This window comes from Homo sapiens, chromosome 20 (assembly GCF_000001405.40).
Source record: "Homo sapiens chromosome 20, GRCh38.p14 Primary Assembly".
Lineage (NCBI taxonomy): Eukaryota > Metazoa > Chordata > Mammalia > Primates > Hominidae > Homo > Homo sapiens.
The window spans coordinates 5,430,847-5,447,454 of record NC_000020.11 but is presented as its reverse complement, the minus strand read 5'-3'; the positions used below and the strand labels follow the sequence as shown (position 1 = coordinate 5,447,454).

The 16,608-nt window shown below is 41.4% G+C and overlaps 1 long non-coding RNA gene across 2 annotated transcripts; it reads left to right on the top strand.

Annotated features, from left to right (window-relative positions):
* Positions 1 to 1,706: 1,706 nt before the first annotated feature.
* On the top strand, positions 1,707 to 15,498 carry LINC00658 (long intergenic non-protein coding RNA 658). Of its 2 annotated transcripts, none has more exons than NR_038240.1 (5): positions 1,707 to 1,951; positions 10,182 to 10,355; positions 13,050 to 13,283; positions 13,385 to 13,666; positions 14,817 to 15,498. It is a non-coding gene; the product is annotated as a long intergenic non-protein coding RNA 658 (long non-coding RNA). The 2 variants fall into 2 exon arrangements; NR_038239.1 differs by having other exon boundaries at positions 13,363 to 13,666.
* Positions 15,499 to 16,608: the final 1,110 nt, after the last annotated feature.

Sequence of the window (16,608 nt, the reverse complement as noted above, 5' to 3'; positions counted from 1 at the left end):
GCCCGGAGGGGTGAGATAATACTAAGGGAGGGAGATCTGCTCTTGGAGGAGGGACCTGCTCTAACCAGCCCTGTAGCTCTGCAAATCTTTGGGATTTTGTCCTTATCTGTAAATAGGGATGACGTTTGTCCCATTTATCTCATTCAGTTATAATGTGCATCAGATAAGATGATATTTGTAAAAACAACTTGAAAATACAAAATGATGTACACAGGTATTATTTAGTTGTGAAGCTCTAAGTCCTGAGGCCTCGTTTATATTAACAATAGCAATAAAAATAACAATACAGACTGGGCGTGGTGGCTTACACCTGTAATCCCAGCACTTTGGGAGGCCAAAGCGTGCAGATGACGAGGTCAGGAGTTTGAGACCAGCCTGGAGAGTATGGTGAAACTCAGTCTCTACTAAAAATACAAAAATTAGCCGGACATGGTGGCGTGCGCCTGTAGTCCCAGCTACTCGGGATGCTGAGGCAGAAGAATCGCTTGAACTCGGGAGACGGAGGTTGCAGTGAGCTGAGATCTCACCACTGCACTCCAGCCTGGGTGATAGAGTGAGAATCTGTCTCAAAAACAAACAAAAACAAACAAACAAAAAACAATACAATGGCAAGGGAAGAAATAAAAGGAGGGTGTCTAATGTGGTAAGGAGGGAAGGAAAAATGAAGAAAGAAGAAAAACCTATTGAAAATAGCCAAGAAAACAGCTGCCCTTCTAAGATACTGACTTGAGGGCTTTCAAAATAATGGAAATTATGCTTCACAAAAAATAATCCCAATGGTCATGGTCATTAGAATTTAGAACAATATTTATATGGCTCCCTGTGGTGAATCAACAATTATTTTCTATGGCTTCAATTTTCAGAGTTTAAATAATGAACATAGCAATACCACCAAAGAAACATTCATTAAATATCAATATAAAATAAAGTGGAAGAAAAAGAGAAAAACAGCAAGCTGCTGATTGCAGTGTTTGCAACCGAGACTCTGTTCTGCAAACCCTGGGGGATCAGCGTGGATTGAGCTATTACTAGAGGTTGGGGTTAAACACGGTAGGCTATAGACTTTCTGGGGGAGAAACCAGTCAATTTCTATTCTGAAAACCTGGCACTGCCTAAGAAAATCCAAACCCTTCAAACAGAAGCTTCGCAAGAGTGTAGTTAATGGCATAAAAGAGTGCTCAGAAACTCACCCACAGAGACTTTCTGATAGCTGATGCCAGGAACAGCAAAAAGCAGAATGTCCAGTTAGGGATAGTTAACCAAGCCCCTCTCAATTCTTCTTCTTGAGGCTATCCTCTCCTCACTGGTCCCCATTTTATAATCATGCTCAAGGAGCCTAGGCTTCTCTTCTTCTCTTACAGCATGTTTAATATCACTACTTTATCCATTCTGTACTGTTGCAGGCTGAAGGTGACATTACACTTAGAGGGATCCACAGATTCAAGAGGCTGCTTGGGGAGGGCAGCACAGTGAAGTACAAGGACTTTGACATCAGAGAGGCCTGGATTCAAGTCCCAATTTCTGTGTGTGGTAACCAGTCTGCAAGACAGCCTGTGATGGTTCCTGCCTCCTCGTATTCATGTCCTTCTTAGTTCCCTTGCGCATTGAATCAGGGCTGGCTCTGGGTGACCAATAGAATGTGGAGGAAGTGATGGGGTGTGAATTCCGAGGCTAGGTCACAAAAGGCATTGTATCTTCCACCTCTTAGATCTCTCTCTCTGCGGAAGCCAGCCACCGCTCTCCAAGGACTCTCGAGCAGCTCCATCTACAGATTCACATGGAGAAGAATTAAGGGTTCCTGCCAATCACCAGCACCACTTTGCCAGCCTTGTAAGTGGGCCACCTTGGAATTGGAGCCTCCAGTTCCTACTGACATCTGACTGCAACATCATGAGAGACCCTGAGTTTGAACCACCCAGCTGAGCTGCTTCTGAGCTAACCCACTGAAACCGTGAGAAATAATTATTGTTTCAAATCCTAAATTTGGGAGTGATATGTTATATAGCCATATTAACAAGAACTTAACCTAAGTATTGGGGGCATTTAGGGCTGATATTCATTTGGGAGGCACCTGTACAGCTGTATCAATTGTTCAATTATTTAAATATTTCTAAGTTGCTTGGTAAAAAGTCCTGTGCTTGAATTAACCTGATCTTGAATTGCAAGCTCCCTGAGGTGCCTTGCAAAGACAAATCAAATCCTCCTCAGAGGAAGGTAACATTATCCTTGCCCTCAAATTATTTCAACAAGTATTTTACAAATACCATGTTCAGCACACAACCAAAGATAAACTGACATATGGTTAAAAACAGAATGTTTTTAGACACCCAGAAGACATCCTTCACTGAGGGCTTATGTGATAGAAAAATTAAGCATATGATGACAATGGATTCAGTGTATGGCCCGGAGAAAGAAACCAAAAGTTGGGAAAGGTGTAAATGGCCCTAATGGGAAAGGAAAGAGGCTTCCATTGCTTCCCAAGACTGGGACCCATCTCTAAGAATCACAGAGAACAAATCTGTCTCCTTGCTGTTCTCCAGAGGGTAGTTGGACCTCAGATGGGTTAACCAGAGAACCAGGACCCCCAGAGCGCAAACTCCCATTTTTCTGAACATTCCCATGTCCAAGTTTGTCTGGAGAACATCCAAGTTGCCTCTTCAAGGTAGCCGGCGCCATGGACCTTTAAAAGGGACCAAAGTGTTCAGAGGACCAGGAATCCTTACTTGAATGTTCTAGACTGCAAGACACCTAGAGATTCGTAGAAAACATGACTGAGGGAAAGTGCTCCTCTAACCTGAAGGATGGAGACTTAGACCAGCTAGTATCAGATTGAGGGGAAAAAATGAGGTTTTGTTTTTTTTTTCACCAAGTATGTAAAAAAATTAAAACCCACTGTAGAATATTAGCAAGATCTTCAACAAGTCTCTCATTATACAGATGAGGAAATTAAGAACCAGGAGGTTAGAAATTCAGTCCCAGCATGCTGACTCACAGAACATATGTGGACTTTTCTTATACTCCACTGCTCTGATGAATATTGTTAAACACTATTTCTTCCTTACTCTTAGGATATCAGGGCCTTGAATGTCACAGACTACCTGGCACTTGTTTCCCAACAAGCTAATATTGACCCACACAAACTGAAAGCCTCAATTTGACATTATTTGTAGCATCCCCTTGTCCTTTTCTTTCTAAACCCAAATTCCAGTATCCACTGCAACCTTCTAGGTAGGCATCCGCAAAAGGTCTTTCTTCTGATCCTGCCAACTCATCATGGTGCATGGTTTTGAGTAGTGCCATAGAGAATATCTTAATTTCTCTGAGCTTTAGTTAAGAGTGATATACACTGGAAACAAGGAGCTTCCTGCTTCCTCTTTGTAAATTTTGATAAGAGATTCCCCAGTGGTCGGAATTTGCCAGGGACCCCCAGCCCCATTCATGCATGAGCTCTTTATCCCTAAAGATGATGAAGGAGAGCCTCAGTGCCTCTCTGCCAGTCTTGGGAGGCAGGAATGATCCAAATAATTTCAAAGATTTCTCCCAACTCTAAGAACTCTGGCCATATAGGGGGAGGAATGCATTAATTACTAAAAATAATTTAAAAAATGATTTAGTATAATTTCTGGGGTGCCTACTCTGTTTTACCAACTACCCCTTCCACCTCCATCTACCACCATGATTTTCATTATCTTCTCTGCACCTCCATGGCAACCTCTGTCGTGGTCTGGAGAAACTTAGCCTTCAATTCCAACTATCTGTCAAGACCTGAGCAAGTCCACTAACTCTTCTGAAACTCAGGCTCTTCAGTAAATGGGCCTAATGAAGAGGAAAGAGGCTTCCATTGCATCCCAAGACTCAGACCCAGCTCTAGGAATCACTGAGAACAAATTCATCCACATCCACTTGCTGTTCTCCAGAGGTAGCTGGACTTCAGATGGGATAACCAGAGAACTAGAACCTCCAGAGCCCAGAGTCTTATTTCTCAAAATTCCCATGTCCAAGCTTGGATGGACAACACCCAAGTTGCCTCTTTAAGGTGGCCTGAACGATGGACCTATAAAAAGGACCAACATGTTCAGAGGACCAAGCATCCTTACCTAAATGTAAGGCTCTCTTCCTGCATCATGGCATTACTGTTAGGAGGGACTGTATTAGTTTTTTTTCACACTGCTATAAAGAAATACCTGAGCCTAGGTAATTTCTAAAGATGTTTAATTGGTCCATGAATCCACAGGCTGTACAGGAAACATGGCTGGGGAAGCCTCAGGAAACTTACAATCATGGTGTAAAGGGAAGCATGGAGAAGGGGAAGCAGGCTTGTCTTACATGGCTGGAGCAGGAGGAAGACAGAGAGGGAGGGTGCTACACACTTGTAAACAACCAGGTCTCATGAGAAGTCTGTCATGAGAACAGCACTAGAAGGATGGTGCCAAACCATTAGAAAGTGCCCCTATGTCCAATCACCTCCCACCAGGCCCCACCTCCAACATTGGGGATTACAACTGAACATGAGATTTGGGTGGACACACAGATCCAAACCATATCAGATAGTAATGAACATGGAGGAGCAGCCCAGTATCCAGCACAAAGGCCCTCAGTAAACAGAAGACTCAGAAGGAGGGCCACCCTGTCTCAGGAGCACTGATTGGCCTGCCCTTCTTTCCTTCAGCCTCCTGGAGGGCAGGGTCTGTGTCTTCTTTATCTGTACCCCGAGCCCCTAGTCCTCATGGCTAGTAGGCACTTCACGAACTCATTACTCCAACATTAGAGGTAGAGAACCGGGAGAGTGGCTAAAAACAAGATTTAGACTCTTTAAGCAGGTAATATAGAAACACAGCCAAATGTTCTTAGAGATGAGTTGTACTTTTCAGCTTTACTTGGCCTTTTAATATGACTGTTACTGCTTTAGCATATGTCAAAATAATTGACCAAGATGGGCAAAAAGTCACTAAGAATGAAAGCACTTCCATTAAGGAATATTTTATTTTCCATGAGGTCTTTGAGAGCTTAGAGAGAAATTGAAGCAATAGTGAAATAATAGACAGTAGACTGCTGCAATTAAATGTGATTTACCACAACTTAAGTATCACTTTCAGATAGTGTCAAATTAAAGCATTTAAGAAGATTGCTGAAAATAGGAGACTTTTTTCTTATCTAAGTGAAATGCTGGCACACGAGGCCTCCAAAGGGAAACTGCCAGATGCTGCTTTATGTGCTTGGCGTGTTTGTGCCTAACATCTCCATAGTGTTTTTGAATTTTACATTATCTGCAAAATTGCCACTTCATTAGAACTGCCTCAGAAACTCCCTTTTCAACGATGGAGGTAGCCGTCAACGTGCATCTGTGCTGCCCCATTCTCATTTCAGAAATGTGGGAGTTATTTTCAAAAATACCTTTTTATTTAATTTTGAATTTTGTGTGCCTTCAGGAAAAATAGTCGTTGGTTCAGGAAGTCAGAGGGATGACATTAAAATCAGTATATTTAATATCTCTCTTTGTTTAAATGGTTAGGAGCTAACAGTTCCTGAAGTTCGACCTCATTGCAGTGATATATGGCATAAATTCCCAACATAATTTTGTTTTAGCTTTGACAGTAGTCTCTTACAATTTGAGGTTTAAAAGAATTTGAGTAAAAGTGGATATAGAATACCCTTTCTTTCTTTCTTTCGCTTGCCTTATTGCCCCGGTCAGAACTTCCAATACTGTGTTGGATGGGAGTGGTGAGAGAGAGCATCCTTGTCTTGTGCCAGTTTTCAAGGGGAATGTTTTCAGCTTTGGCCCATTCAGTATGATATTTGCTGTCAGTTTGTCAGAAATGGCTCTTATTATTTTAAAGTATCTTCCTTTAGTACCTACTTTATTGAGAATTTTTTAACATGAAGGGATTTTGAATTTTATTGAAGAACTTTTCTGTGTCTATTGAGATAATAATTTGGTTTTTGTTTTTAGATATCTTTATGTGATGAATTACGTTAATTGATTTGCATATATTGAACCAGCCTTGTATCCCGGGGATGATGCCAACTTGATCGTGGTGGATAAGCTTTTTGATTTTCTGCGTATTTGGTTTGCCAGTATTTTAGTGATAATTCTTACATCAATGTTCATTAGGGATATTGGCCTGAAGTTTTCTTTTTTTGTTTTATATCTGCCAGATTTTGGTATCAGGATGATGCTGGCCTCATAGAATGAGTTAGGGAGGAGTCTCTCCTTTTCAATTATTTGGAATAGTTTCAGAAGAAAGGGTATCAGCTCCTTTTTGTATTTCTGGTAGAATTCAGCTGTAAATCCATCTGGTCCTGAACTTTTTTTTGGTTGGTAGGCTATTTATTACTGCCTCAATTTCGGAACTTGTTATTTGTCTATTCAGGGATTCAACTTCTTTCAGTTTCAGTCTTGGAAGGGTGTGTGTGTCCAGAAATTTATCCATTTCTTCTAGATTTTCCCGTTTATTTGTATAGAGATGTTTATAGTATTCTCTGATGGTTGTTTGTATTTCTGTGGGGTCAGTGGTGATATCCCCTTTATCATTTTTTATTGTGTCTATTTGATTCTTTTCTCTTAGAGGAAGTAAAATTGTCTTTGTTTGCAGATGACATGATCCTATATCTAGAAAATCCCTTCATCTCAGCCCCAAAGCTTCTTAAGCTGATAAGCAACTTTAGCAAAGTCTCAGGATACAAAATCAATGTGCAAAAGTCATAAGCATTCCTATGTACCACCAAGAGGCAAGTAGAGAGCCAAATCATGAATGAACTCCCATTCGCAATTGCTACAAAGAGAATAAAATACCTAGGAATACAGCTAACAAGGGAAGTGAAGGACCTCTTCAAGGAGAGCTATGAACCACTACTCAAGGAAATGAGAGAGAACACAAACAAATGCAAAAACATTCCATGCTCATGGATAGGAAGAATCAATGTCATGAAATTGGCCATACTGCCCAAAGTAATTTATAGATTAAATGCTATTCCCATTAAACTACCATTGATGTTCTTCACAGAATTAGAAGAAACTATTTTAAAATTCATATGGAACCAAAAAAGATCTCATATAGCCAAGATAATCCTAAGGAAAAAGAACAAAGCTGCAAACATCATGCTCCAGACTTCAAACTATACTACAAGGGAACAATAACCAAAATAGCATGATACTGGTACAAAAACAAACACGTAGACCAATGGAAGAAAATAGAGAACTCAGAAATAAGGCTGCACATCTACAACCATCTGATCTTTGACAAACCTGACAAAAACAAGCAATGGGGAAAGGATTCCCTATTTAATAAGTGGTGCTGGGAGAACTGGCTAGTTATATGCAGAAAATTGAAGCTGGACCCCTTCCTTACACCTTATACAAAAATTAACTCAAGGTGGATTAAAGACCTAAATCTAAAGCCCAAAACTATAAAAACCCTAGAAGAAAATCTAGGCAGTACTATTCAGGGAATAGGCATGGGCAAATATTTCATGACGAAATCACCAAAAGTAATTGCCACAAAAGCAAAAATTGACAAATGGGACCTAATTAAACTAAAGAGTTTCTGCACAGCAAAAGAAACTATCATCAGAGGCTGGGCACGGTGGCTCACACCTGTAATCCCAGCACTTTGGGAGGCCGAGGTGGGTGGATCATGAGGTCAGGAGTTTGAGATCAGCCTGGCCAATGTGGTGAAACCCCGTCTCTATTAAAGATACAAAAAATTAGCCGGGCATGGTGGTGCACACCTGTAATCCCAGCTACTCGGGAGGCTGAGGCAGGAGAATCACTTGAACTTGGGAGGCAGAGGTTGCAGGGAGCCAAGATTCCACCACTGTACTCCAGCTTGGGCAACAGGGTGAGACCCCATCTCAGAAAAACAAAAAAAGAAAAAAGGAAACTATTATCAGAGCAAACAGGCAACCTACAGAGTGGGAGAAAATTTTTGTATTGTATTTATCTCACAGAAGTCTAATATCCAGAGTCTACAAGGAACTTAAACACATTTACAAGAAAAAAACAAACAACTCCATTAAAAAGTGGGCAAAGTATATGAAAAAGACACTTCTCAAAAGAATACATTCATGCAGCCAACAAACATGAAAAAAAGCTCAACATCACTGATCATTAGAGAAATGCAGATCAAAACCACAATGAGATATCATCTCATGCCAGTCAGAATGGTTTGTATTAAAAAGTCAAGAAACAACAGATGATGGCAAGGCTGTGGAGAAATAGGAACGCTTTTACACTGTTGGTGGGAATGTAAATTAGTTCAACCATTGTGGGAGACAGTGTGGTGATTCTTCAAAGACCTAGAACCAGAAATACCATTTGACCCAGCAATCCCATTGCTGGATATATAACCAAAGGAATATAAATAATTCTGTTACAAAGATACATGCACACATATGTTCATAGCAGAACTATTCACAATAGCAAAGACATGGAATCAACCCAAATGCCCATCAATGATAGACTGGATAAAGAAAATCTGGTATGCATATACCATGGAATACTATAAAGCCATAAAAAGGAATGAAATCATGTCCTTTGCAGGGATATGGGTGGAGCTGGAAGCCATTACCCTCAGCAAACTAATGCAGGAACAGAAAATCGAACACCGTATGTTCTCACTTATAAGTGGGAGCTGAACAATGAGAACACAGGGACACAGGGAGGGGAACAACACACACAGGGGCCTGTCGGGGGGTTAGGTGTGGGAAGGGAGAGCATTGGGAAAAATAGCTGATGCAGCTGGGCTCAATACCTAGGTGATAGGTTGATTGGTACAGCAAACCACCATGGCACACATTTACCTATGTAAAAAACTGCACATCCTGCATGTGTACCCCAGAACTTAAAATTTAAAAAGAATGGATATAGATATAAATATGTAAGTATAGATGATATAAACATATTGATATGGGTGGCAAGGTAGGAAACTATTAGTTTCATTTGTAAATTTAAAAAGCAATACACCTACACAGAAAAGAGGATTCAGCCTGGGGTTCAACAAATTAGTGTGGTTTATTCCAGGCTGAGGTCAAGGCTTGCTGTGGTTCAAGTGCCTAAAGTTTATTTCCCAGGAAAAAATAAAGTGGAGATTTAAAAGCAGTGGTCAGAAAGGATAACTTTTTTTCTTTTCTTTTGAGACAGAGTCTTGCTCTGTCACCCAGGCTAGAGTGCAATGGCATAATCTCAGCTCACTGCAACATCTGCCTCCCAGGTTCAAGCAATTCTCCTGCCTCAGCCTCCCAAGAAGGTGGGATTACAGGCATCTGCCACTGCACCCAGTTAATTTTTGTATTTTTAGTAGAGATGGGGTTTCACCATGTTGGCCAGGCTGGTCTTGAACTCCTTACCTCAGGCAATCCACCTGCCTCAGCCTCCCAAAGTGCTGGGATTACAGGCGTGAGCCACCAAGCCCGGCCAGAACATTTTTGCAATTAGCAAAAGCCAAGGTGAATTACAGTTGATAGTTTGCATGAACAATATTTGACAAGCTTGATAAAATATGTGGGATATGAACACTTTGTTGATGACAATTTACATCAGATCTTATATAAAATGTTAATATTTTATCTTTTATTCTATAACTAACTTACTTTTTTTTAAACAAGTGAAATGTTTGTTTGTATAGACGTGTGAACATGAAGTTCCTTTTGTGTTGATATAACATCCAGTTGTTTGTTTATTGGTTAAAAATGATAATGTTCAACCCCATTGAAATGAGGGGAGGCAGAAAGATGCTGACCTCAGTAACTTTGGAAATGTTTTAGTGTGTAATACTAAAGGTGAAAAGAACTGAATTTAAGCACTGTACTGTAGTTGATAATATTGCTTCCCATGGGTCAATAATTCTGATACTCATATATATATATATATATATATATATATATATATATATATAGAGAGAGAGAGAGAGAGAGAGAGAGAGAGAGAGAGAGGAATTAAATAATTGAGTAAATGAATGGCAAGTGTTGGGAACAAGATTTCTCTCTTTTGGGGTGAAACTTTACAGATAAGCAAGGGAATCAGGAGAATAGAATGATCCATGTGGTAAAGGATTACAGTTGGAGAGATCAGTAGGAACTCATGTCTAGCTTAATATAAATGTAAATGGTTACACATAGAAATATTTATAGATATGTTTTATATACAGGTGAGTATACATTCATATATTTCCTTGCTTTGTGAGGTGAAAGTACCTGAATGAAACAACACCCAGTAGCCACTAGCACACCTAGCTCCCAGATCTGTTTTTGATGCCATTCTTCAGTAAAAGGAAGCAAGGCTGCTTGGAGAAATTGCTATCAAGGACTGGGGTAGAAAATATACAAGATGAAATTGGAGCATCTTGTAGTGCTTGAAAGTAAGGAAGTGTTGTTTTTGTTGTTGTTGTTTTAAAAAGCATTGATGGGAATATGTCAAAAGGACCGCAGAAGAGCTCTGTGTGTGTGAAAGAGCTCCCAATGACAAAACTGGAATGATTATTTAATTGACACATATTAGATATACATATTTTGGGGGTACGTGTGATAATTTGATACATCCATATAATCAAATCAGGATAATCAGATACCATCACCTTAAATATTTATCTTTTCTTTACACTAGGAACACAGCTTGAACAACAAAATAAATAAAATGATGGTGGATTATAAAACAAACTATACTTGTATAAATAAATTACTGAATAAATAAATAAATAGAGAAGATGAGGCAAATATCCCATGTTGAAGAATTCCAAATAATTGATGTAGATACTGTGCTCTCAAGGAGGGGGGCATAAATTTTCACTCCTAAGTGTGGGCTGCTCATAGTGACTTCCTTACAGAGAACACAGTGTGGTAAAGGGACGGGGTGAAGGGTAACCTTGCCGTGGAGAAATCTGACAAACACGTCTTCAGCCATCAAGGTCAACATCAACAGTGAAAGGTCATGTTGTTAGTATGTTCCCTTGATATGTGATGAAAATGGCACGTTACCTTTGGGGTCCTCCTCCTCAAGAAACCAGCCTAATCATGAGAAAAGTGTAAAATTCCAATAGACGGGCATCCTACAAACTACTTGACCAATATACCTCAAAATTATTAAGGTCATAAAAAAAGGAAAGTCTGAGAAACTGTCACATCCAAGAGGAGCCTAAGGGAACATGGTGACCAAGTGTTATGTGATATTCTGGATGGGATTCTAACACCTAAATAGGACATTAGGTAAAAATAAGGAAATCTGAGTAAAGCATGGACATTAGCTAATAATAATAACGTATCAATATTGGTTCATTAATTGTAACAAATGTACCACAGAAATTTAAGATGATAGCCATGGGGGAAACTCGGTACAGGCATATGGGAACTCTACTGTTTTCTCAACTCTTCTGAAACTCTAAAACTGTTCTTTAACAATTCAGTCTATTGTTAAAAACTCAAACAAAATGATACGGGCTATAGGCTGGATTACAATTCAAGGCTATGGACATACACAGAAGAATATTATTAACATTGATTTGACTTATTAACAGCAAAGGTATTTAATTTTCCGAAAAGATTTTCAATTGACCAACTTAAACACTTTATTCTCCAAGCATGATCTACACAGTTTGAGAAATATAATAAGAGAAACTGATAAGGTTTTTTCAGCATTGCAATAATCACCTTAGCTCTTACCTGCCTGTTTAATCCTTACAATAACTCTAGGAGGAATATGCTGTCTCCATTTTAAAGATGAAGAAATTGCAGTTTAGTCGATTGCCCAAGTTTGGACAGTTAGTAAACAATAAACAAAGATTTGAACTTGGGAAGTGTGAATTCTATACCCACAGTCTTAACCCTATGCTGCACACATACCAACATTAACAGCTGAAAATATTCCCAATAACTGAGTTGACTGACTTGCTATATGCTGTTATCAGCAACATAATAGTTAGAAATTGATGGCAGCTATTATGAATAAGGACTTTTGCTTTAGACAAGTTGATTTGTAGATTATTTTTCTGGCAGAAATTTGAAACCAGAGAACTGTTGACTATTGGATATCCTATGATTTTTTTTAATAGAGACGGGGTCTCACTTTGTTGCCCAGGATGTTCTTAAACCCTTGGGCTGACGCAATCCACACGCCTCAGCCTCCCAAAGTGCTAGGATTACAGGTGTTAGCTACCACACCTGGCTATTTTTTAAAAATCATAAAATGTGTGAAAAAATTACCATGTCAGTAAAAATTCCCTTCACACCAGAATTTGGCATAGTGTAGAAACAGGTTATTATTGAACTTAGAACATCAGGTTTTTGCCTGAAAAATTATTTCTACTTATCAAGAAATGTTCTTGAATGGAAGTGAACATTATGTCCAAGGCACTGACCTTTCATAAAAATAAACTGGAGAAAAATGCTTTTTTGAAAATAAGGACATTGACCTCACTGTTGGCTACTCTTAATGTGTTGTGTGTGAAATTCTGATTAAAGTATGATAACATTTCAAAAGTGTTGCTTAACCTAGTATACACTTTCAAGATATAATCTTTGACTGAGGAAGACTCAGTCTAGCGAAAGTCTTTTCTATAATGTGAACATGACTTTCAGACGAAGATGGTGATGGTACCATCAATATTTTGCCTTAAGAAACTTAAGAACTTAATACAAAAAATTTAAATGTACTCCCTTTAAGGGAAAGCCACCAGCAATTTCTAAACTTAAAGCAGGAAGATGAAAGGATAGAATAAATTGTGCCTTATATTCTACAATTCCAGAAGAAACATGAGCCCAACTCCGGGGTTGCACACAGTCATGCCAGTGTGATTTGGGGAGGAATCCTGAGGCTCCAGCCCTGGGCTCCAAGTTTTGATCCCTCAGCATTGGGTACAGAAGGCAGATTGATGCTGCTGGTGTGGAATTTCCTGGGGCCTGACTTCACTAACTCATCACATCTCATCATTCTTCCGTTCTCTCCTCTCTGAGTCCTTTTCTTCAGCTGTTGCACCATTTCTACTTTGTTCAGAGGGATAATGCTGGAAGGTATAGGATGTCAAGTTCACTCTGCTTTTATTTTTTATTCCCTTTGGCAGACAGTTGGCATCTGTGTGAAGATGTGAATGGAGGAGGCAGAGTAGGCAGTGAGTGCCGCAGCCACAGCTTGTGTTCTCTGCAGCCCTGGCACAGAAGATAGGAACACTCATGGGGGATGCGGCCACTGTGATGTCTTCCCACACAAGAAGTGCCAAGTGCTTTTCTCATGCTTTTCTGGATTGTCCCATGGTGGACGAGTCAGCAGGAGTGAGATGGAGCAGCACAGTAGAGGGGTACCTGGCAAGGCCCGGAGGGAGGACCCCCTGCCCCAAACATTTCAATGATATCAGGTGACAGCCGTGATCCTCTTAGCACCTGCTCTGTTTTGTCCCAGGCCAGGATATCGTTGTACATATTCTCAGCTAAGTGAGCACCAATAGAGGAGAGGGAGAGTCTCATGGAAGTTCCTTCTAAGCCTTTGGCTCTTTTTACCTTCAACAAGGTGTGCCACCTCTTTGATCCAGCAAGTGGGAAGAACAGTCCCGGCCTCTTTGCACACAAGACCGTGATACCAATGCACCATCACAGGCCCCACAGGGGAGCTGTCCGCTTCCCCACACAGCTGCTAGGGGCTCTTTTGCATGTTCCCAACCTTTCCTGCCTTTATCTGATATTCGTAAGTACAATTGTAGAAAAGGGAAGGGCTTTACTAGTCAGCAAGTGTCAGCAGGTTGAGGATCCTCTAAAGGCATCTTGGAAAATCAAGGAAGGAGACACATGCCTAATTCCTATGCTCTGTTACCCTGGCCTCCAGCAAAGTCTACCCTCATATCAGAGAGACCCATTGTAGATAAATATGGGCTGCCAAAAGCAAGACAAGCCTTGGGCAAACTGCCCAACAGATGGTTCAACTCTGTGTGTACCAGCCAAGGGCCAACGTGTCAGACAGTAGCTTCTGTTTGTGCCTTAAGTCGGAGTTGTGAATATAAGATAATTCCGGGATGGCAGGGATCCCACAGTTATGGATGTGGGATGGTTTAGTTCCATCCAAGACAAACTTAGGACATCCTCTTTCAGGGGTTTGAATACACAGCTTTCTCTGCTACCCCCTCAAAGCGTTGGCCACCAGAGCGGAGTGGTTAGAAGGGTGAAGGGCTTTAGACAGGAGGGAAGGAATGTCCTTGCATGGCTTACAGGATGGGGACCCTAGCCAAGATCTTGGTGCTTTGGCCTGCAGGCAGCATCAGAAGCCAGCCCAGGGAGTGGGGCAGTGGCCTTGTACAGAGGGCTAGTGGTGGCTAAATTTATGTGTCAACCTGACTAGGCTAAGGGATACTCACACAGTGGGTGGAACATGATTCCTAGGTGTGTCTGTGAGGCTGTCCCCTAGAGGTTGGAATTGGACTCAGTGGATTGGGTGAAGATCTGCTCTCACCCGTGTGGGTGGGCACCGTCCAATCCACTGAGGGCCCGAATAGAATAAAAAGGTGGAGGAAGGATGAATTCACTCCCTCTACTTGAGCTGGGACATCCATCTTCTCCTTGGACATCTGTGCCCTGCTTCTCAGGCCTTCAAATCCTGGGACTTACACAGGCTCCCCCACCCCCTGTCCCCCCAAGGCTAGTCCGATTCTCACTCTGTTGGACTTGAACCAAATTACACCACTGGCTTTTCTGGTTCTCCAGCTTGCAGCCAGCAGATGGGAGTACTTCTCAGTCTCCATAACCACATGAGCCAATTCCTATAATAAATCTCATAGCTATTGATCTATAACTATTTATTCTCTGGGAAACCTTTACTAATACAGGGCTCTTGTTTCCCTCAGGTTCCTTAGATCCTGGGATGAGGAGGTGGACCAGCAGAAGGTGGGCTTGTGAAGGCAGCCCGGGGTCCAAATCCTCCTGGCTCTTCAGCTTAGCGGGTTAGTTAACATTCAGAAGCCTTCATCTCCCATCTGCAAAATGGGCATGTCCAACTCAGAAGCTGCCTTGAAGAAAGGGTCTACCCAGCATGGTGCGTGGAGCCTAAGCAGTCAGTACTTCAGGACTTCACCCGGCCCCTTTCCAATAACTGCTGCTGTCGCCCTCACAGGATGTCACCTTCAGCGTCTGAAAGCTGGGTTTGATGCGTCTGGAAAGGCGTCCCTGACAGGCGTCGTTGCCAGGAGCCCCTAGTGCCACCAGCAGCCAGCAGGGGAGGGCGTCCTCTGCCCGCTCACTTCTGACCCTTCTCTCGTTGCACCCGGAACATGGTGCAGCTGGGAGCAGCCTGGGCTGCGCGGAAGGCTCAGATTTGGGGACGGCCCTTGCCAGTGACTGTGAGCTGGGGTGTCTTGGAAACTCCCAGTCTCAGCTTCTCCATTTATAAGATGAGAATGATCATACCAGACTCAGGCAAGGTTGTTTGTGCATTAGTGAAATCAGACGTATTAAATAAAGTACCACATTGATCGTGGAGTTGTTGAATAACCAAGAACACGCCTATCTGTCTCCAAAAAATAAATGTTGAAAATGATGAGGGCGTGGCTCTACGTTGGGAAGGGAAATAGGGTGCTTGGATGAGAGAATCCTGAGGCATGGGACAGTGGAGGGATCCAGGATAGTTCCATAAGAAAATGTGCTTGCACTATCGTTTCTTTGCAGAGGCTCTTGTGTGCTGGGAGGCTGGCTGGGATGGGGAGTTGGTGGCAGAGAATAGTGTCTGTTTTCTTCCTGGTAGCTGGAGAGCTCTGCGACAGAGGACTGAGGTCATTAGGAACAAGCGGGCAGGTAGGGACAGGCGTTGGAGTGGACTAGCCCTGGTTCCCCTGAAGCTCTCTGGGGTGGAGGTGAAGGAGCTTCTAGGGCAAAGTTTGCCAGTTAAGGAGGAGACACTGTTTGGGCTGCTCCCCGAAATGGAGAACTTTTGTGTGTGCCTGGAGTGTTTCTATTTGAGAAAAACTATTTGAGAGGTGGGAAGGTGAATTATTTACCAGTAAGTTTATCCTTCTCTCCTCAGATTCTGCAGAACTTGCAGACCCATAAACAAATTAGAAATTGCTTTTCTCCTCTTGCTTAACCTAAATTTCTTTGTGGAAGCTGAAGGAAAATATGAGTAATTTTCTAACATATTCAGTTACAGAGACAGCAAAGAGAAATATTCAAGAAAAAAAAAAAACAAACCCTGAGGTGCTACTGACTTCGTGTATGTCTTAGCTGTAGACAGAATTGGGATTTCCTAATATGGGTTTGTTCCAGTACAGCCCCTCAGAAAGATTTTCATCAGCAAAACACACATTGGAGGACCAGCTGCTGTGCAGTTGTCTCTTTTAAACCATTTTCTCACTTCATTGCTAATTTTCCCAGCACCTTTCTTCTAACAGTTCTACATTTTTGATCTGCAAACAACCTGAGATTATTTCTTTCCCTCTTGGTAAATAAAAGAAATTTAAAGTAGATTCTAGAATGGGTTAGACTGTTTTATTCCAGATCCCTCAAAAAGAAGGGATAAATACTTCTTTAAAAGAATCCCTTTAAAAGAAGGGATAAAGTTTAAGCCATAAATACAATAAATGGTGAACTGCCTGGTTAACTGAGGGCTGATTCCCGGAGACGCAACCAGGGGGAGCTTCCTGAGCA